This window comes from Homo sapiens, chromosome 10, assembly GCF_000001405.40.
Source record: "Homo sapiens chromosome 10, GRCh38.p14 Primary Assembly".
In the NCBI taxonomy this organism is placed as follows: domain Eukaryota; kingdom Metazoa; phylum Chordata; class Mammalia; order Primates; family Hominidae; genus Homo; species Homo sapiens.
This window is the reverse complement of record NC_000010.11, coordinates 51,140,933-51,164,822: the sequence shown is the minus strand read 5'-3', so window position 1 is coordinate 51,164,822 and position 23,890 is coordinate 51,140,933. Positions and strand designations below refer to the sequence as shown.

General features: G+C 34.8%; 1 protein-coding gene across 5 annotated transcripts in view; it reads right to left on the bottom strand.

The window, feature by feature from the left end:
• The window catches only part of PRKG1 (protein kinase cGMP-dependent 1), a 1,307,463-nt gene that overhangs the window by 1,133,528 nt on the left and 150,045 nt on the right, over positions 1-23,890 (bottom strand). For all 5 annotated transcript variants that reach the window (NM_001098512.3, XM_017016413.2, NM_006258.4 and 2 more), the window contains exon 2: positions 11,493-11,659. In NM_001098512.3, coding sequence (NP_001091982.1) covers positions 11,493-11,659 — 167 coding nt within the window. The remainder of the gene's footprint in view (positions 1-11,492; positions 11,660-23,890) is intronic.

The following is a 23,890-nucleotide window of genomic DNA, read 5'->3' as shown; positions in this document are numbered from 1 at the left end:
TTTCATTCATTTCATCTTCCATCACTGATACCCTTTCTTCCAGTTGATCACGTCAGCTCCTGAGGCTTCTGCATTCTTCACATAGTTCTCGAGCCTTGGCTTTCAGCTCCATCAGCTCCTTTAAGCACTTCTCTGTATTGGTTATTCTAGTTATACATTCGTCTAAATTTTTTTCAAAGTTTTTAACTTCTTTGCCTTTGGTTTGAATTTCCTCCTGTAGCTCGGAGTAGTTTGATTGTCTGAAGCCTTCTTCTCTCAACTCGTGAAAGTCATTCTCCGTCCAGCTTTGTTCCGTTGCTGGTGAGGAGCTGCGTTCCTTTGGAGGAGGAGAGGCGCTCTGCTTTTTGGAGTTTCCAGTTTTTCTGCTCTGTTTTTTCCCCATCTTTGTGGTTTTATCTACTTTTGGTCTTTGATGATGGTGATGTACAGATGGGTTTTTGGTGTGGATGTCCTTTCTGTTTGTTAGTTTGCCTTCTAACAGACAGGACCCTCAGCTGCAGGTCTGTTGGAGTTTGCTAGCGGTCCACTCCAGACCCTGTTTGCCTGGGTAACAGCAGCGGTGGCTGCAGAACAGCGGATTTTCGTGAACCGTGAATGCTGCTGTCTGATCGTTCCTCTGGAAGTTCTGTCTCAGAGAAGTACCCAGCCATGTGAGGTGTCAGTCTGCCCCTACTGGGGGGTGCCTCCCAGTTAGGCTGCTCGGGGGTCAGGGGTCAGGGACCCACTTCAGGAGGCAGTCTGCCCGTTCTCAGATCTCCAGCTGCATGCTGGGAGAACCACTGCTCTCTTCAAAGCTGTTAGGCAGGGACATTTAAGTCTGCAGAGGTTACTGCTGTCTTTTTGTTTGTCTGTGCCCTGCCCCCAGAAGTGGAGCCTACAGAGGCAGGCAGGCCTCCTTGAGCTGTGGTGGGCTCCACCCAGTTCCAGCTTCCCAGCTGCTTTGTTTACCTAAGCGAGCCTGGGCAATGGCAGGCGCCCCTCCCCCAGCCTCGCTGCGGCCTTGCAGTTTGATCTCAGACTGCTGTGCTAGCAATCAGCGAGACTCCGTGGGCGTAGGACCCTCCCAGCCAGGTGCGAGATATAATCTCCTGGTGCGCCGTTTTTTAAGCCCGTCGGAAAAGCGCAGTATTAGGGTGGGAGTGACCCGATTTTCCAGGTGCCGTCTGTCACCCCTTTCTTTGACTAGGAAAGGGAACTCCCCGACCCCTTGCGCCTCCCGAGTGAGGCAATGCCTCGCCCTGCTTCGGCTCGCACATGGTGCGGGTGCGCGGCACCCACTGTCTTGCGCCCATTGTCTGGCACTCCCTAGTGAGATGAACCCGGTACCTCAGATGGAAATGCAGAAATCACCCGTCTTCTGCGTCGCTCATGCTGGGAGCTGTAGACCGGAGCTGTTCCTATTTGGCCATCTTGGCTGCCCTCCCATATTTGTGAAATGGAAAACCATCTTCATAGGAGTTTGACCACCTTGACCAGATGCTTTTTCTAATAAAGCTTTGCTATTAATAAATGACTAAAGTAATTTAATTAGCTTTTATATTGAAATTGAACAGTGTACAGAGTAACTTAACTGTTCTTGTTCAACTACACAGACCGTGAACAGCAAATAGAAAGTAAATACTCTATTTGTGTTCTGTTTTTCTTTTTGTTTTTGTTTGAGACAGAGTTTCACTCCTGTTGCCCAGACTGGAGTGTAGCGGTGTGATCTCGGCTCACCCCAGCCTCCGCCTCGCGAATTCAAGAGATTCTCCTGCCTCAGCCTCCTGTGTAGCTGGGATTACTATTCGGGTTTAAAAGCATTTGCAGGTCTGCTTGGTGGATCATTTCTGTAATCCCAAAAGTTTGAGAGCCTGAGGCAAGGGAATCACCTCAGGCCAGAAATTTAAGAACAGCCTGGGTAACATAGTGAGAGCCCATTTCTACAAAAAATCCAAAAAAATAGATGGGTATGGTGTCATGAACCTGTAGTCACAGCTGCTCAAGAGGCAAAGGCAGGAGGATTCTTAAACACAGGAGTTCAAGGTTGCAGTGAGCTATGATCCAGCCACTGAATTCCAGCATGGGAAAGAGTGAGATCCTGTCTCAAAACTAATAAAATAACATTTAAAATAAAATAAAAGCATCTCCTCCTATATATTCTTATGAATAACTTATGGGTGTTTTGTGATACAAGGAAAAAAATCCACTTCAGTAAAGTTGGATGAATTAGACAAATAAAAGATTCTACACAAATCATTAATGTAACTATATACTCAATAATAATTCCTTGGTATTTTAAATACACATAAAGTGTGAATTCTCAGATTGATTTTAATACCATTTTACGTCATCCACCATAATTCTAAATCTCTGTGTACTACTTTTGGAGCCTTAGCACAAAAATATTTTCATTTTATCAGAAAGGAGTTTATAGAAGGGCCTAAATATAAAGATCAGATTAAAACTGCAGCCTTCCAAAGCTACAGTGGTTAAATTCAGATGAAGTAGGTGCAATTACAGCCTGTGTTTCTCAAATGTGGAGACATGGGAGAATTCAAATAAGAACTTCAGAGACCAATTCGGATGTTCTCTGTGGTGGGGGTGGGGTAGGCTGTTGCCATGGTAGCCACACCAGTAAGCTCCCCTGTGCTGGGAAGTGGCTCCTATCTGTCCTGCCCTTGGAGAGTGTGCCAAAACAATTACTAAACATTCAAGGCTTTCTCATTAGAGGGATGGATATTAAAAGCATTAGTCTATCCAGCTCCACAAAGAAATCACTGAAAATCATGTTAAAGTCCCTGAAGAAATATATCTATGTGTTTTTTAAAATGAACACATAACAATTGTAGATTGTGTGAAGTGTTCAGCATGCAAACTCTTCAACAGTTATGTAATGATGGTTGAAGTAAATTTTACCTCATTAGCAAGAAATCAATGTGTTATTACACCATTGCCAAAAAAGTACTAATCCACATTTTTTTCTCACTTTTTACTTTTTCAGCTATGCTGTTTTGTTTCTAATTTTTACCAAAAAAATACACTTTTAAAGTTTCCAATCTGCCATTCTCTCAAAGTGAAGAATGGAGAGATTGATATCTTAGCAAAATGAAAAAGCATAGAAATAAAATAAATAACTGCTTGAAGTAAGAATAAGATGGGAAAAATGTGTACCTTTTTAATGTGACCTACGATTTGCCTTATTAATGTCACATTGATTTTTTGAAAAAAAAGATGGCATTTCAACCATCATCTCAAAACAAGTACAGCAATTTTCAAACTTTTTAGCTTTCAGGAAGCTTCCAAAATAAGAAAAGCCACACTATGCCTCTTCCTAGTGTAATAAACTCATTTCCACCAGTAATACCTTAGAAAAAATTGGAGAACTGTACATTAGTAGAACCACAATGAGATAAGGCTATATTTTTAAACATTTCACAAGGACGTATTAACCAGATGAGTATTAAGAACATTACCCTTCAAAATATGTCACTTTTTCAATAATGATGTTTTAGAGTAAAACACCTGGTCAATTCTTAACTTGTACAACAAATACCATTACTTTCTAATGGTACATATACACACATTCTTATATATTTTAGCCAAAAAAAAAACTGTATTAGTCAGCTTAATCACCTACCTCTATTCATCAAATCTGTCACTAAATGACTTGTGATTATTTCCAAATATAAAATCCACTCTCACAGAAAAAGAAATTGCTGTCATCAAGTATTTTCAAAAGCATATTTACTGTCCCGAAGGACAATTTATAAAGAATTCTTAAAATATATTGAAAAAAGAAAAGCAAAAATGTATGGCTTTTCAAGCCTCCTACTTTGAAAAGGACAATTACTCTTTCGATTATCAATGTAAAGATAATCTAAGCCATGAACCTCACATAACTAAGCTATGAATGTACCTTCATGGACACACACATGCACACACACACAGACACACACACACACACACACGAGCATGAAGAACACTGGTTAAGAGGATTTCTTTAAAAACATACAAAAAGCACAAACCAAGAGGAAGACTGATACATACATGTAACTTCAATAAGGATTAAGTTCCAATGTATGTAAAGCTGTCCCCCCAACAGTAAAAAAGGGAGAGGACAATAACAGACTTTTCATGGAAGAAACACAAATAGTCACAACCTCATTCATACCTAGGGAGATGAAAATTAAGATCACGAGGTACCATTTCCCATCCACCAGATAGGTAAAATTTAAATGTTTGTCAATATAAATTGTCCTGGATATGAGAGACAATCAGAAAACTTAGGCATAAGTTGCAATCAGGTATAATCAGATAAAACCACTTTGGAAAGTAATTTGATATTATTTAACAAATTTGAAGTTTCACATACATTAAGACCCAGGAATTCTACTTCTATCTATATACACTAGAGAAATTACTGAACATGTTTATAAGGATTCACCGTTAACACTGTTTAAACAAGCACAATTTGAGAGAGCAAAATAACAGAAAATTATTCAGGATACCATCAATAGCAGAAAGTATCAATAAATTGGGTTATACAATGGAACATAATATTGAGCAAAAACAAGTGGTAGAAGAATACGTGCAAAATTATTAGATTTATATAAGTAAAAGAATATTCAAAACTAAACACATACATTACATAAGGGAAAGGATTTCCAAGAAGAAATCTTTTGAGGGCTAGGCTCTTATAAGCTAACTTGTAGAGTATTAGTTCACAGATTCACAGACTCAGAGTCTTGGAGTTTGCAGAAGATACAAGAGATATGTTATGGTTCAGCCACAAGGAATCCCTCCTCAACCCACACAAACTTTCTCTAAGCAGATGCGATGTAGTCACTGCTAGAATGCCTCAGGAGATAAGGTTCTTGCCATCACCATCAGGCTGCCCATTTCACTTTTGGTCCATTTTTAATTAGCAAAATGTTGATTCTCAAGTTGATTCAATTTAGACTTCACTATAACCTGCATTTCTTCTTTGGCCATCTAGATTTATGCAGAATGCTTCCCTTTTTTCCTCCATGTGACCATGTTTTCACACTTAAAAACAGTCATCCTTTCTTCCTAAATCTGTCCATGAAATATTATCAATTATTTTAAATACATTTTATGCCTCCTGAACTTGCTCAAGTATATTAAAGTCCTTTCTGAAGCATGGCACCCCAAAATGAACACGATACCCCACATGGCATCTAAATATTTCACATCCCTTCCTTTGCCATTGCCTCAATAACTAAAACATATTTTAATATTCACATTTAGTGCTTCAAGACTCTCCTTATTTGTGATAACCTCTTATAATCAGGTGTTTTGTTTTGTTTTTATATAAGTAGTACACAAGCTTTCTCTTTAACATTAACATTATAAGCTTGGTCCCATAAAGGAATTGCAAGTATAACTTTAAGTACATTTGTATTTCAACGATTCTAAAGATAGCTTTTGGATTAACACGAAAAACTCATAAGGCCAAAAGGCAACATCTGATTGTAAAGAATAAAATGGCCCATTTCTCATGTTAAATTTACTGAGAGCTAATCCATATGAAAATGCATTCAATTCCTTCACACTCTCAGGTAGTGTTCTGAATGCCATCTGACATCGAAAGGCTCATTTTTAATGTTCAATTTTATATAAAATCCCTCTTTGAATGTCAATGTTCATTACATCATTTAATTGTATAAAGACAGTAAAAAATGTTTGGGGAGGGAAAATAGAACTTGTAGTTTGAAGCGGTATAAGTTTACTGTCGACGGTGGCTAGCATGATTCATGTCCACCCTGAATAACAAATAGTGTTGAACATCAGCATAATAGGCAGACCACACTGTATCAACCAACTTACTGGAAAATGAAGCAAATCTTTGTAAGTGAAGTCTCAGTTCAATAACAACAGAAATGAGTCTAGTCTTTTGAGAGTAGATGTGAATAATCACATAACACTTAGAGTTAGTATACAAATGCTCCATTAAAAGAGTCATTTGTGTAATAACTTGAAAGAATTGTTCCTTCTTAAAAAATAAAAATAAAAATGAAACCTGTGAGAAAAACAAAATCAATGCTATTGATTGCAGATAGAAAATAAGGCCTCCAAGGTACATGGTGGAATTTAATTCTAAACCATAAGGACACAGAGGTGGACCAAGAATTAAGCCAAATCATAGCCATTCTTTCAATAAGAAAAAAGGAACTAATAAGAGAAGAGGAATGGATGCCAGATGATCTACAGAGAGGTCAGTATGAAGTTTAATATTCAAAGGATGCAGAGAGGCCTAAGAAGTACTTATAGGAAATATCTTGAATTTTTTTTCTTTTTGAACTATTGCTGTTCAAGTTTTATTTCTTGCAAATAGTCAGATCATTTTTTAATCTCATGGTTTAAAGCTATGCATCTTTTATGGGCTCCTCAAGTTTGAATATACATAATAAACTTGTAACAACAGTACTTCTAATCTGTACTTCAAAAGTTAGCACCGCACATTCCTTAGGCATGGGGACTCCAAGGCTAAGACGTGTATTTCAACATACTGATTGCATAGTCTTGACCAAGTTATTAACTTCTCCAGGCATCAGTTTACCATTTATTAACATGTAGATAACAGAATGCCTACCTCTTAATGTCATTATGAGAATTAAAAATTTAAGACCTAGAAAGTGACTAAACAGTACATGGCATATAATTAACTAACAAAAGTTATTATCATTAACAAACACCTCATGAAAAAAATTGGTAAGTTCTAGTATTCTGTAGGATTGTAGGATGAGTACAGACAATGATAATATATTATGTACTTCCAAAGAGCTACAAGGAGGATATTGAATGTTCCCAACACAAAGAAAATGAAAAATGTTTGAGATGATGGATATGCCAATTACCCTGATATGTTCACTATACATTCTATGTATCAAAACACCACCATGTCTACATGACTACTTACAACTATTGTATATCAATTAAATGAATAAAACAAAACAAGTTAATTTAAATTAAATAAAATTTGAAATGCAAAAATAAAATTTGAAATGCAAAAAAAAAATTGATGATTTCATCGAAAAAGTTTAACTTAAAATAACCAATAGTCAAAGGACACTAAACAGACACTTGCCATTTTAAAAATTAAAATGAAATTTATCTGCTTCCACCATGAAACATCACAAAATATGAACAAAACCAATATCTCTAAGCAAATCAATCATTATAATAGGTATAAATTAGACATTTCCAATACTAGAATATTAGGTAAAATTCACCCCAAATAATGCATCACCAATTATAAATCACTAAGTCAAAGTTTGTTTTATTTTGAATGAATGTAGACTGAAGTTTATCTGTATAATAAAAAAGGAGAACAAGAATATAAGAGTATTAACACATGCTACCTCATAATTAAGGCCAAAGTCTATCTGTTTAAGAAAATAAACTGTATCCAAATATTCTGTAAGACTCACTAAAATATACTAACATAATTAAAACATAAAACGAGCTTTAAGCAATATAATCTACTTACACTACTGCCTTAAAAAGTTAATTCCAAAACAACGTTGATCAAAACTTGAAATCGAAACTTCTACTAGGTAGCACTTTTAAGTATCTGAAAGCAACACAACTCATTTTGCTTGAAAATACATGATAATGTCTGCATACTACACCCAGATGACTTTTCCCCAGTCATCGTAATTAACAAAGTCTTACCATATGAGTATTCTCTTTGTTAAAACCATAAGAACCTCTGGCATTTAGGTATGCAATAACACTTGGAACACTGCCCGGGGTGCAAACAAAAAAAAATATGTAAGGCACATGTTAAGCATTTTATGAAGACCACTTAATTTCACTAAAGAGAGACAGGAAGAATTGGACTGATTTTCCACATAAACTCCCTGGGTCTTTTGCTGAATATCTTGATAGTAAGCAAGCTTGTGGAAGATCCTTTACTGCCTATTCATTCATTATTACCATGGTATACTCTTTATAAATATGAATGTTCACAGATAACAAAGAATCCATCTATAGCAAGAACATTGCTACCTAAATTTTGAGAAGATTGAACTAATGATACAATGAAACATTTCCTCAATTAAAACTTTTTAAAATTTAAATGATCGTTTTTTAAATTTTAAATTATTTTGACATAAGGCTATTAGCACAAGATCTGCTAAAGTTACACTGAGCTGGCTAGAATTACCATTTAGGGAAAGATTGGCATCAGGTTATAAAATTGTAGTCATTTTATTGAGTTTAATTGAAGGCAATCAACAACATTGCAAAAGCTGTGACTCTGAAGGCAGTCAACATCATTGCAAAAGCTGTGACTCTGAATATTGATATATTATTTAGAACCCTGTTTTTAAAAGGATAATTAAGATAACGTGCTGTTTAGTCAATCTAGCAATAAAAGGAAGATAAAGAAAATTTATTAAAATTATCGTGAAGCAATGGGGAAAATATTAGTATACTTACCTGGGGAAGAAATATCACCTATCATGAGTATTTCTTTCTTATTTTGTTACATTCGGGTGTGTGTGTTTGTGTGTGTGTGTGTGCTTGCATCAAATAACTTCGTTTGCTTCCTTCTCTTATCTCCTTATCATGCAGCATAAGATGTATTGACTTTATATCATAGTATTTAAGTATTGTTAACTTCACATCATAGTATTTAAGCTACGGGATATCAATGAGGTGAGTAAACATCACCCAAGAACTTTGTGTCTTCTTTTGGGGAAAGGGTTAGTAAATTTGCAGCTGTACACAGGGTTGTTGAATCATGTTAGGTGGAAGTATGACCTTGTTCTTGTCTTTATTTGAAAATTAAATATGGTTTAAGAAGATATGTATGGGTGCCAAGGTGACAAGGGGTCGATTGACTTGTGATGTTTAATTTTACATGTCAACTTGGATAGGTCACAATACCAGAAAGCTGCTCAAAAATTATTCTACTGTAGACGTTTTGGTGAAGATATTTTAGTAACACCTAAACGAATAGACATTGAGTAAAGCTGATTACCCTCCAATAATGTGGGCGAGCCTCATCCAGTCAGTCAAATAGAAAAAAGTCCCATCTTTCCCCTAGAAAGAGGAAATTCTGTCAGCAGACGGCTTTCAGACTCGAATTGCAGCATCTCTGATCAATGGGCCTTACCCTGTAGATTTTGGACTTGCCAGCCTCCACAATCACATAAACAAATTCCTTAAAATAAATCTCCTTCTCACTGTATATAGACACACACATCCTATTTGTCCTGCTTTTCTGGAGAGTCCTGACTAATACATAGCCCCATAGTTAACAGTTTGAGCTCTGAATCCAAATAGCCTGGGTATAAACCCTGACTCTACTATAAACTAGTTGGGAGACCTGGGCAAATTACTTAACCACATTAAGCTTCAGTCTCCTCATCTACAAAATGGAATAATAAATATTAGCCTTTACCTCACAGTATTGTTTGAGGTTTAAATAAATTTTATATGTAAACAATATTTAGAAAAAGCATGTTCTATGTGTTGGGCATTTTCTAAACATTAACAAATATTAACTATTATTCCCAAGCTTCTTCCAATATAGCTAGAAGACTTTCAGTTAGGCTTAGTAAGAAGGGACAACATGAATAAATTTTAGAAATAATGTCCATGGTTGTTTGGAAATCTACTTTTGTAAGAAATATTTAAGATGAAGGAACATTGAATCCACAGGTGTTCAAAATTGTGGTTTCTTGAATGAAACAGCAATAATTAGCACTGGAAAACAGATGAAGTAAAAGTATACTTTCCTTTATACAATAGCTGTTTTATTAAAAGGTGCTGACCAATATAATATCTGAAAAATAATATCATATGAAGCTATTGATATAATCTCAGAAGTGCTTTAAACGTGGTTTCTAATTGTTAGTAGTTCTTAAGATATTGCCTCTATCTTTATATTCTATACTTGACCTCTATATATTTTTGCCACTTTTCCATCCTTTCTGCTCACTATCCACATATAGCCTTGTCCTATAATTTCATCTCTTTTCTTTGCAATTCTCTGCCAAGTGTACATTATGTGTATTTTTGTTTATTGTGTTTTGTCACCAGAAGAAAGTCTAAATGAATATTTATATTTTTTGGCCTGGGAAGAATTTTATATTGTTGACATAGAAGGTGAAAACTATAAGGGAAAAAAATGATAGAAATTACTACTTAAAAACTGAATGCCTAACATATATCCAAAAAGATGACAAAGAATAAATAAAAGGTGCATGCTGAATGAAGAAAGAATATTTCTTATATACTGTCAAGATTTTAATAGAAATAATACTTATTATTATGTTGTGGTGTTCTATACTTTACATTAAACATTATACAAATTATCTCATTTTATACCAATCGTGTAAAGAAGGCAGAATGCAGGATTTTTCATACGTTGGCTCTAATGACATTTTGGGCCAGATAAATCTTTGTTCTGGGCAGCTACCCTTTTGAGCAGTATGCCTGGCCTTTACCCACTAGAAGTCAGCAGTCCCCCCAACATCACCCCCTTTGTGACAACCAAAAATGTCTCCAGATATCACCAAATGTCCCCTGGGAGACAGAATCATCATCAGTTGAAAACCACTGGCAGAAAGAAAGAATATCTTCTTTTTTTACAAATTGGTTAGGTGAAACAGAGAAATTAAGTGACTTGCCCAAATACACCACTTCTCTGAATGACCTGTAAGTTTGATAATTATAGGACACTATCACACAAATGTTTTGGATAAAACATTAATCACCACCTAAGAAACTGGTTTTCATGTGTCACCATCTTACATTATAGGTATTTCTGCACTCACTTTCTTCCAAGCTGATTCAGTCATTATCTCAAGCTACTTTCTTCCCACAAAAGAAAAGCATGTCAGTATAGATTTCAGGTCAGAAAGAAGTATTATGAAAAATTAGCTAGGCATAAAACATATTACACAGTGCGTGCCTCAGTTTTTTTCAAAACACTTTCTATATTAGTCTTTACAGGATGTATGAAACAAGCTATCATTCCTATTAATTAGGCAGGTAATATTCCATTCAACCTTTATTGTCTGCCTCTGTCATACACATGAAAAACATTTTCTTTTTACAGAAGCTTCATAGCAGGAAAACTAGTCACATATTAAAAGTTAAGGGGAGAGTTGAAGATGCTTAAATTATCGGCCAAAAATACTTCCAGTGATCTTGAGCTTCTGCTGAAGCTTTGTATGTTTGCTCAGTGACCTGACTGCATGAAGAATATTCAGTGTAATAAACTATATTTCTTTTTTCACATTTTTAACTTTTCCATGTCTGAAAAAATACTGGATTCTCATATTAATACTCTAAATACAAACACTTCCCATAATTAGTTAACCACTTTATCTAAGTAGTGTTTCAACTCTTCTCAAACTAATTTCTCAATAAAAGAAGGAAAAATGGAATTTTCCATGTAATGCATTGCCATCTGTGTGCAGCTGATAAGATGAAAAAAGAATATTTGAATGTCAGAGGATTGGAGTTACAAACCGTACCTTCCATGACATACACCAGTGACCCCACGTCTCCTTCTTTGATGATGCAACTGTCCTTGCCATACTCCACCGGGTACATACAATCCACAATCTCCTGGATCTGCGACAGCTCCAAGTTCTTCATAAAGTCATTGTCAAGGATAGCTTCCTTTATAAGATCCTTGGACCTATGGCAAGAGAGGGAAGATTTACTGGCACATCTGACAAGCTCTTTCATAGTTTGTGAGGTTTAGCAGCGCCATAGAGTGCTCTGGCACACCACAAATGTATTTTCTTGTTAGGAATCCAATAATTTTCTGGAAGACTGGAGAACAAAGTATGTCCATGGCAGCAAAACAAAAAAAAAAAAAAAAAGGCACTAAGAATTTTTTTTAAGTATTCTATCATTTAATGAATAAGTGACCTACCAACCAACCAACCAACAAAATCATACAAGTCCATTTTGCTTTAGACTTTTTCTTAATCACAAAGATTGCTAGAAAACCAATGGATACATACTTTAAAGTTTGTAATTTAGTTTAAGAATAAACATGAATAAAATTTCAACATTCCAGAACAAATACTATTACTACTGTTTATATTTATAAAAGAATATCAGGGATGTATTGTACTATACACAATTATAGAAAAAAATGTTTACTTATTTTTTATGTGCCTCTTCTGCTAGACTTAATGCTCCACATAAGCAGGGATCATTTTAAATTTGTTCTTTATTTTATGCCCAGTGTCTACTAAGATGCCAGTCATCTATAAATAGTATTTAAAAAAATACCAACCTAACAGCTTTATGTGTGAAGACTGGTGAATATAATGTTACCTTCAGTAAATGGTGGGAGATAATACTGCTCAAGTAATATTTTGGATTAAAAAAGAATTGGATTCCTACTTAGCTATTTGAAACAACTGGTAGAAATGCAACAGTTCTTTACACATGTCCCATGCTTTTTAGAGAATATTTCTTTCTTCAAGCAGCTTAGACTGAGGTAACCAGGCAGATACAACTCTATTGAACAAGATGTTTGAAGTGCAACATGTTTTAGGTATGGGATTCAATACAGGTAGTCAGTAGGAAACATATTCATAAATTTTGTAATTGGAATTCAGTGGTTAACGAGAAAGTTTTAGCAGAACTTAAAACATTGGGATATTTATTTGCTGGGATAAGAAGTTCCAAATGACTTTCTAAGAATGCAAAATCAAAGTGGAAGAAATATTAAGAAATATTTTATCAGGAGGAGGACAATCAGAGCACTATCAGAGAAGTCAGAAGCCACATAAGATGAAAGCAAAGAACTTAGCAATCCAGAGAGGAGGCAGCACATTTGGAATGTCATATTAAAAGTCTTAATTTTTAAAAAATTAAATACAAGCTGACCTTAGTCCTCATTTCCTTAGCAAGTGGCTTCCAGGGGAGTGACCTGCGGTAGTGAACACTGACTAAAGCGTTAGTCTTCCCTCCCCATTTCTGGGAGGCTTTTCATCCAGACCTCAGTCTAACCAGCCTAGCCTTCACCATTATGTTTTGTAATAATTCAGTTTTAAGTAGTGCAAAGATACACATAAAAATAAAAACAATTGAAATTTCATTACTATGAAGAATAATCCTAGAGTGGAACGTTATGCTGCCATTAAAATTTTGTTTATGAGGAGTGTTAATGGCATGGAGGAAATTCTTCTATTATTTTTAAGTGAAAATGCAGGATACAAAATTGATTTTAGAGTAAGAATGTATGTGCCTACTAAAATGTTAAAAAAAAAAAACAAAAACAAAAACATAGGTTTTGAAGAGACATATATTTGGGTTTCAATCCTAGCCCTGACACCTCAAAAATTTTGAGTGGGTTGTCTTACTTTTCTGAATTTCCATGTTATCATCTACAAAATGATATTTTAAAAATATCAGCTGAATAGGTTTATATGTGAAGACCGAGGAATAAAATGTTACTTTCAGTAAATGGTAGGGGATAAAGGTTGTAGCAGTATTAATTGCAGTATTATCTTCACCCCTCCTTATAATTACCTTCACCACTCCTGGTCTCAAGAATAGCAGTGGCACCTTCATATTGACTCCTGAGATCTACTATTCTGGGATTAATTTTCCAAGAATCTAGGCTTATTTGGCATTCAGAAAATTAATCTTGGTCAAATTGCATTACGTTTTCTCTTTCCTAAAAATTTCTTTTCTTTTTTTTTTTTTTTTGTCAGAGAGTGAGGCCATTTGATGGGTTCATAGTTTCTTGTACAATAAAAACTAATCAAGAACCACAACTTGTTCAGCTACATACAGATGACACATTATCCTTTAGGAAGTATTAATAGTACCCTATAAAGATTTAAGTCCTAGAAATTCAGCAAGATTAAAAATGAAGCCCTCTTCCAAGAACATAATTATAATTAGCGCCATCCAAACATGATTGAAGTCGCTTTCTCCCCTCTCATAAATAAGATTATTAATCTGTTTGATGAAGATATTGCAAAAGATTAAACAATGAGCCCTAACACAATTCCTTAGAATTATCCAAACTTTCCAACTGTTTATCACTGAATGTAGAGTGTGGGATGGGAAGGACGGGATTTCAGGATGTTTTTGTTTCTCAAATTTTATTTTGGATGGAGGACATTTAATTTCAGGTCTCTGAAGAAACAAACTGGAGGCTTCCATATAGGCTGTTGTGTCACTTCAAAAGAAACTAATCAATATAGGACCACATCTTACTATTTATACCTTCATACAGATATTGCCAAATAGCATTATTTCTGAATTGTCACAATTTGTCTCTGCTCTCGCAGCAAGATAGATACCTTGTGCCTCTGTGTAGTACAACCCCAAAGATGGTCTTGTCAGAGAATAATACTCAAAGCCCTGCCTTTTCATGTAATTTTCCTTTAAGTCCTTTCCTATTGAGGACTGAAAACCTTAGGTCAACTCTCATTAGTCTTTACTTTCTCCAACATTATAGACTATAATTAATCAGGGCCTCCATCTAATTCTTCTTTGAATCCCTTTCTTTCCCCAAAGAAATGGTCTAAGACACTCACTGTAACTAAGATATAATGCATATAAAATCAGTGAGTTGAGTTGTGTTATTAGTATGGGAGTTGGGGAAAGCCGATATCACAAGTACCAGAAGGTAGCCATCTGCTCAACCCAGAGTATATATTTTAACAATATTTTGAAATAATTCAGCAGCCTGACTTGGGAGGTATAAGAAGCAACCACAAAGATCATGATTTTTTTTAATCTTTACTATCTGCCTTTGTGTACAAATTATTTATTTTTAAAAATCTTTTTCTTTCATGCCCAAAATGTGTGGCTTTTTAAATCTAAACACCCATAAAAGCGACTTGACTCATTTGAGCTATCCCTATTCCTTTGTCATCATTGAATTGTCAGCCTCTGAAATATTAGCTATATATAATGATATGCTGGTATTCTGGCTGTCTGGCTTGGGTGGAGAAAAGCGGAGGAAGCCATGGTGTGTAGCGTTTGCCAATTTCCATGGTGTAAATACTCCCACCATGGCCAATTTCAAGCTTTCATGCAAAATCAACCTGTTTGCAAAGTTCCTGGAAATTAACAAGCAGATCTTACATGAGCCAGTGCAAGTTGGCTCCAGCACAATACTGGATATAGAGTATTTTTCTAACACCCTAAGAATTTAGTGTAACTTAATTTATAAATTCTGAAACCAACATGATAATCCTTTCTTTCCTTAAAAATTTCATGAGGTGGTATAATATCCCCAGATAATTTAATGCCAGGATTAGCAATAGTTCTTTCAAATGTTCAATTTTAGAAAAATAAATTGGAAAATCCATTTCCCCATTTACTTATTACAGAGAAAATTTCTGAATGTAAAGAAAAAATACTTGACAGAAATTATCTTTCTACACAATCTTAGGTAAAAATGGGCAATTTTAGAGTATAGGAAAACATATACCTACTTCTCAAATAAGGGAGCCAGCACTATTCACTGTTAATAAATAGGCCCCCATTAGTTTTTCTTAAGCTAATAAAAGGATATTCTACATTATGGTTACCATACAGTAGGCTAGCAATATGTAAATAACAGTAGGGTTATTTCAAGGTGTAGGGAAGGCTAGTTCAGATTAAGTGGTCAGGAAGGCCTCTCTGAAATAAAGATTATATGACAATGAGATCCAACCATTGTCTTCTCTATTGCAGTGATGACGAGGAAAAGCATTCTAAGTAGAAGTAAAAACAAGGACAAAGGTGTAGAGTTTGGAATGACCTTGATATATTCAAGGATCAGAAAGGAGACCTGTATGGTTGAAGCATACAGTGAGAAAGAAGGAATGGGATGGGAGAATAAGATCACTGAGGTAGGCAGGGGATGGGTTTCATAGGACCTTGAAGACTACAATAAAGAGTTTTATTCCAAACACCAGTGAAGGACTATAAAAAGGGGTATGATTTATAGACAATATAACAGACATAAAGAATAAATGATATAAATTTACTTTAAAATGTTACTAAATTTGTGGAGGTTTTCTGTTGTGGATTTCATCAATTAATGAATACTGAAAGCAAAATTGATTATCATGTTAATAAGGGAGTTTTATAATTGAAACTCTTGGGAACCACTGTCTCATAAAGCTTACATTTATTTGGAATTTAAATCACTTACTCTCAGGCAACTCTTACATATTAGGAGAGAATTAGGTCTCATCTCAATTTCAAGAACTATCTCCAGAGGCCTGAAGTGTGCCCACTCTCTACTTTCACTCATGTTTTAGATCAGTTTCGCCCTCAGTCAGGTCACAGGCAATAGTAAACATGCCAAGAACAGCCTTGCCCAGAAATGTGAGCATTAACATCTGATCTCTTTGATTAAAAAAGACTTCCAGGCACTTTAAAAGACATAGTCAAAGCTATTAAGTTATTGCTAAGAATGGAAATCAGCGAAAGCAATCTGAAAATGTAGCACAAATCTTCTATAATAAAAATTTTTAACCAAAAACATCACTCACTAATTTTCTTTTGCACTGAATGGTCAACTTTGGGATCAAATGTCAGGGGAAGCAATAAATGATTTTCACAGTCACCTTGGCCTACAGTATTGTCTATCCATTTGGGAACTCAGACATCCAAGTCTTCATTGAGGACATGACAGTCCACAGCTCTTTCACACAGACATACTCCTTGCAGAGCCTCTTAAAAGTTTCTAATTCCGAGTTATTTTCAAAGGACAACTCCATCCATCTATTGTGAAATATTTGATTAATACCTATAAGAAAGAAAATTGGTAGTCCTGTTGCTGCCACAATTGTTAAGATTCTGCCCAAACCATGGATCCTATTTCTTGCCTAACAACTTTTCTGAATGAACTCCACAGATATAAGCTGGCTAAGAGCTAAGAACTACCAACCAGCCCACATAAAGATAAAATTTAATCCTGCAAAGTTATTGGCCAATTTAGATATTCCCTCAAAACCACAAACCAGTTTTCAACAAGGTTCACACTGTATTTTCACATCAACCAACTCTGCTATAGCTATCCCAATCTTATGACAAAAATAGTCATGAGGAAATTAAAACTGTTTGCCAAATTCAGACCTATAATTAGCATTTGATACAAAACAAAGGAATCACTGGCCAAAATTAATGTTAGCGACATAGTTATTTGGTGAACAATAATATTTATCTTTTATTACATACATTGTAATATTTACCAATTGTCAATTGCCTTCTAACTTTTTTCCTGCAGTTCTAAAATAGATTATTTAGTTCCTTTGAATTAAATCATGAAATCATGAGGAAATATTAATAGTCTAAAAACAATGATGTGGAAAGGGAAGATAGCCCATAAAATATTTATTTGCCCAAATGTCATTCAGATGGTAACTTAATTTTCCTTCGTTTTTTTTTTCCTTTTACTTTTAGTTGACATGTAGTAACGGTACATATTTATGGGATACAGAGTGATATTTTCATACATGTACATAATGTGTAATGATCAAGTCAGGGTAATTATCATATCCATCACGTTAAACATTTGTTATTTCTTTGTGTTGGAAATATTTAAAATTCTTTTAGCTTTTTGAAAATATGCCATAAATTATTGTTAACTATATTCATCCTTCAGTGCTATAGAACACTGGAACTTATTCCTCTTATGTAGCTATAATTTTTTATCCATTAACCAACCCTTCAGTATCTTTCCCTCATCCCTACTCTTTGCAGCCTCTAATAACTATAATCCTGCTCTTTACTTTTATGCATTCAATCTACATATTAGTGAGAACATGCAGTATTTATATTTCTGTGACTGACCGATTTCACTTAACACAATGTCCTCCAGGTTCATCTATGTTGCTACAAATGACAGGATTTCATTCTTTTTTATGGCTAAATAGTATTCTGTTGGGTATATGTACCACATTTCCTTATCTGTTCATCTGTTGATGGACATTTAGATTGATTCCGTATCTTGGCTATTGTGACTAGTGCTGCAATAAATATGGGAGTACAGATATCTCTTTGATATACTGATTTTCTTTCCTTTGAATAAATACCCAGCAGGATTTCTAGAAACTAGATCTCTAAATCTTACCATATACAAAACATCAACTCAAAATGGATTAAAGACCTAAATGTAAGACCCCAAACTATAAAACTACTAGAAGAAAAAGGAGGGGAATTGCTTCAGGACATCGAGTCTAGGCAAAGGTCTTAAGAATAAGACCTCAAAAGCATAGACAACAAAAATACACAAATGGGACTATGTCAAAAAATAAATAAAAAGCTTCTTCATAGCAAAGGAAATGATCAGCAGAGTGAAGAAGCAACCTGAAGAATGGGAGTAAATATTTGCAAGCTTCAAGCGAAGGACAAATGTTCAGAAAATACAAGGAACTTAAAATAATAATAATAATAATAATAATTTGATTAAAACATGGGCATGTGATCTGAATAAACATATCTCAAAAGAAGACATACAAATGGCCAAGTATATGAAAAAATGCTCAACATCATTAATCATTAGGGAAATGCAAATCAAAACTATAATGAGCCATCATCTTAAACCAGTTAAAATGACTATTATCAAAAAGACAAAAAATAACAAAATGCTAGAGAGGATGCAGAGAAAAGGGACTACATTTTTTTCTTTTTTTTTTTTGAGACAGAGTCTTGTTCTGTCACCCAGGCTGGAGTGCAGTGGTGTGATCTGGACTCACTGCAAGCTCCGCCTCCCGGGTTCATGCCATTCTCCTGCCTCAGCCTCCAAAGTAGCTGGGGCTGCAGGCACCTGCCACCATGCCTGGCTGTTTTTTTTGTTTGTTTGTTTGTTTTTTCGTATTTTTAGTAGAAACGGGGTTTCACCATGTTAGCCAGGATGGTCTCGATCTCCTGACCTTGTGATCCACCCGCCTCAGCCTCCCAAAGTTTACACTGTAGGTGAGAATGTAAATTAGTATAGCCAGGGAAAACAGTATGGAGTTTTCTCTAAAACTAAAAATACAGCTAGTATTCTCCATTTTAACTAATACTCTCACCTCATTGTCATTGACTAGGAGCAATGCTAAGTAGCTCTTGAAATCACTAGTTAGATGTTAACAGATGGGGCAGGCTTATATTAATTGAGGAAAAAGAAAATTGTTGTTCTTTTAGGTGTTCATCCACTTCCAAAACGTCAATATTAAAAGTCTCCCATTCAACTATTCAAGTCATTCAGCTCTCTAGAGATGCATTTTACGCGTGAGCCTAACTAAAAATAGAGCAGTTTCCAAAAGAATCCAGATCAAGCTCTTCTCCTGTAAGCTTCCTCTCTCATATCATGGAATTAAAACCGTGAAGTTTCACAGAACTAACGTAAAGTGCCTTGCCTGAGAATAAATAAGACCGTACGCATTTCATTACATAATTTAAGAACTATGTGGCCTGATCTATTAAGAACTAACTCTATTTCTGAAGTTTAGATGCCCAAACAGCAAAACAGGGTAATAACTGAGAAAAAAAATGTCAGATATTTATATGTCTAATTGCAATTCAATGTTTTAAAGTATTTTTTTCTTACCTTTCAAGGCACTAAATAATTGAAATTTCTCAGAACTCATTTGTTTCCAACAAGGTCAGCATGAATACACTATAAACAAGTTCCTCACCACCCTGGGCAACCCTATCATCAGGGCATACATTGAGTGCCATGATGTTACTGTTAGTCCTTTGAAACCCAGCAACTCACACCACCACTATGTGTTACATGTTGTAATTTCAATTACTGCAATGACTTGATTTTCAAATTGATCATTAAAGAAATCATTTTAGAATAATTCTGTTAAGATGCTTGTTGACTTAATCTCTGAGACAGATTACCTTATATTTTAAATTTTAAACTAAAAATACAGCTAGTAAAAATACAGTTTGTATTCAATGGCAGAAATACAGCATGATTCTCTATCACCCCCTTATCCCAAAGTGTACACTTTCTCTTGACTGATAATGGTGACTTGGCTACTTTACTCAATTCACTTAATTCCAGAAAATTGGAGCCAAATTTCGCTTCATTACAATGTCCTACATGTCTCACAAGGCAGATTTTCTACTCTGACATACTCAGTTCAGTTTTACCTCCAACCATTGTTTTGCGTAAGGCTTTAATACATTAGACATTTACAGTCTGCCTTAAGTGAGATGGTGTTTATATTAATTTTGAAAATAACTAAAAGTTTAAAACAAACAATCATGCTCCTAGTCATAAAAGCTCTGTGGTTACCAAGCTTCTTAACCAAAGTGAAAAATTAACCCAATACTGACAATAACATTAGTCATTATTATAGTAGTAGTATTACTACTATTAATATTTATTATTACCACTATTCATAATTATTAAGTAGTTATTCTGTGTTCCACAATGTACAAAGAGCCTTCCCTCATTTAAGATTCATTTTTGACTCTCTAAGTTTGCCATAGTAGAACTCAGAGAATTACATAAATTGTCCAATGTTGCACAATAGTAAGTGACAGGTAGAGTCAGGATTTAAAGATAAATCTGTTTGACTTCTAAGCCCACAATATTTAATTTCACTGACAATTTGAATAAATTATTCCACTTATAAAAATCCAAAAGCAAATGTTCCACTCATTTATCTCTAATTTTTCAAAGGTAGGAATGTTACACTTTTGCAGAAGAATGAAATTAGACCCTTATCTCTCATCATAAACAAAAATCAACTCAAAATGGATTAAAGACTTAAATGCAAGACCAAAAACTATGAAGCTACTAGAGGAAAACATAGGGGAAATATTTCATGACACTGATCCAGGCAAGGATTTTTTGGATAAAACCTCAAAATCGCAGGCAGCAAAAACAAAAATAGACAAATATGATTACATCAAAAAAAGCCTCTTTACAGTTAAGGAAACAATCAAAAGAATGAAGACACAACCTATAGAATGGAAGAAATATTTGCCTCCTATACACATGACCAGGGTTTAATACCCAAAATAAATAAGAAACTCAAATAACTCAGTAGCAAAAAAAACCCAAATAACCCAATTTAGAAATGGGCAAAAGAATTTAATAAACACTTCTCAACAAAATAAAATAAACATGGCCAATGAGTACATAAAAAATGCTCAGTGTCACGCATCTTCAGGAAAATGCAAATCAAAACCATGAGATCTAACCTTACACCTGTTAGAATGGCTATTATCAAAAAGACAAAAGATAACAAGTGTTGACATGGTATGGAGAAAAGGGAATCCTTACACACTGTTGGTGAGAATATAAATTACTATAGCCATTACGGAAAATAGTATGAAGATTCCTCAAAAAATTAAAAATAGAACTACCATGTTATCCCACTACTGGGTATATACCCAAAGTAAACTAAATTAGTATTTTGAAAACATATCTGCACCTCATGTTTATTGCAGCACTATTTGCAATAGCCAAGCTATGGAATCAACCTAAGTGTCCATCAATGCATGAATGAATAAAGAAAATGTGTTATACAGACACAATGGAATATTACTCAACCATAAAAAATAATTAATTTCTGCCATTTACAACAACATGGTTGAACCTAGAGGATATTATATTAAGTGAAACAAGCCAAGCACAAAAAGATGAATACCACACGATCTCACTCATATGTGGAATCTTAAAAAGTTGATCTCATAGAACTAGGGAGGAGGAGGGTTGTTACCAAAGGCTGGGATAGTTAGGGGGGAAAAGGTGTTAGGAGATGTTGGTCACAGTTTACATAATTACAGTTTAATAGGGAGAATAAATTTCAAGAGACCTACTGTACAGCAAGGCAACTGTAGTTAATGTCATATTGTATTCTTGAAACATGTAAGGACAATGGATGTTGTATTCTCACCATAAAAATGATAACTATGTAAAGTAATGCACTTGTTAATTAGGTAGATTTAACCATTGTAAATGCATATATATTTCAAAACATCATATTGTACATGATAAAAGCATATGATGTTATCTGTCAATTAAAAAATTTTAGAAGAATGTTATGCTTGGATAATATGACTTTTATCTACATAGAGCATTTCATGTTTTCAAAACATTTCCATATCTAACGTTTCATTGTATTATTGCCACAGACCTATGCAGTAGGTAGAACCTTATTTGTCCTTATTTGACAGGTAAGGAAACAAAAGTATAAAGAGGTTAGATGCCTGCCAAGTTCATATGAGAGATTAAAGTAGGACTCAGGTCCACTGACTATCAGCCTGCAATAAAACACTTTTTAAACCTTCTTTTATTTGAAACACATTCATATTCATTCATTCATAATCTCTGTCTCTCTCTCTCTCTCTATGTCTGTGTCTCTCTCTGTCTGGATCTTCCTATCTCTCTTTTTCTCACTGTTTCTTCTCTCTTTTTCTGTCTCTTTCTCATATCTTTGGCCATTTTAACGTTTAAACTCACCTGAATAAAGAGTCAACAAATCCACTGCAATAGTTATCAGCAGGGAATTGTGGCCATTTCACAATAATTCTATAGTTCAAAATTCTGTCATAGTTCATTCATAGATCCCCTTTCTGATCTAGTTCATTCTCTACATTACAGAAGTTTGAGCATGCTTTATGGGTTTTACAGAAGGATAATCTCAATACAGAAACACGTCTTGAATTCAGCAATGGATTCAACTTATTTTGATTCCAGCATGTTCACATTTGTTTTCTCTTATCTGACTTGAGCACACATCTTTCTTTCTCCTTTTCTCTCCTTTTATTCCTACATACCTTGCCTCAGATGACTTCAATATGTACATATGGAGGAGAAATGAAGTACACAAAATTTGTTATCAATTTGGATGGAGATCTGTATTTGAATTTCAAATAAAAAGGAAGCTCCCATTAAAAGATAAAATATAAAATTCCAAAAAACTGCAAAATGGCAGATTTCGTAATTAATGTAACTAATGACCTATAATATTTCAGAGAAATTATAATATTTCAGAGAAGTCTGAATATAAGATACCAAACATTAATGCTTTCCATATAAGTACTTTACAGTAGAAATGTAATATGTACAATTTGTAACCTTAAAGCATGTTAGTATAAGGGTTCATACACTATAATCTGAGTTAGCTACCTTAAGATTTTCACGGCATGAGACAGAGGGGGTAGGAAGAAAGGAAGGTTGAGAAAAAAGAAGATAAATCAATGTGATTTTATAACTTGAATCCACTATTTATCATGTACCATATGTCCTTTAAAACTTTGTCCCTTTCAGTAGTAAATAGTTAATATTTATTATATTTCCAACACAACAATTCTAGCTTCAAAATCAGCCACTGCAGGTAAATGCAGGCAATAGTGATTGACGGTTTTAAAACACAACTATAATTATCCACAAAGTGATTTAAAGAGTGACCTAGAGTTGCTACTGACATAAGTATAGTATTTATGGAAGTAAGTGTTATCCACAATCTGGAAAAACACCCCTAAAAATGTATCCTTTGTGAAAATAAGGTCACAACAATCACTGACAGGAGGACAAAAAGAAACAGAGAAGCAATAAAGAAGTTTAGGCAGGCCGTGAAGCCAAGGAGGTTGAGTACAAAAAGTAAATGCAAAAGACATGGGATTCAGAGCACAGTGTATGCTTGAACTGCAGTTAACTAGGCAGGCACATGATGTAACTCTGTGTGAAGGCCTCCAGCTAGTTAAAGGTGGATGCTGAGGTCTTTTTCAGGCTGAGATTCCAGAAATCAGGGACAGGGTATAGAGGGATGAGTGTTGGTCCCCGAGGTTGTGGGACACTGAGCAAAACTGTGGTCTAGAGAGAAACAGTTTAAAGAATTAATCCAAAGGGAGTTCAAGCATACAAATGAAAACTAAGCCCAAGATATAGGCTCTTCAACCTGAGGCAGCTGGATGGAACAAAAGAATTCAGAGGGCAGAC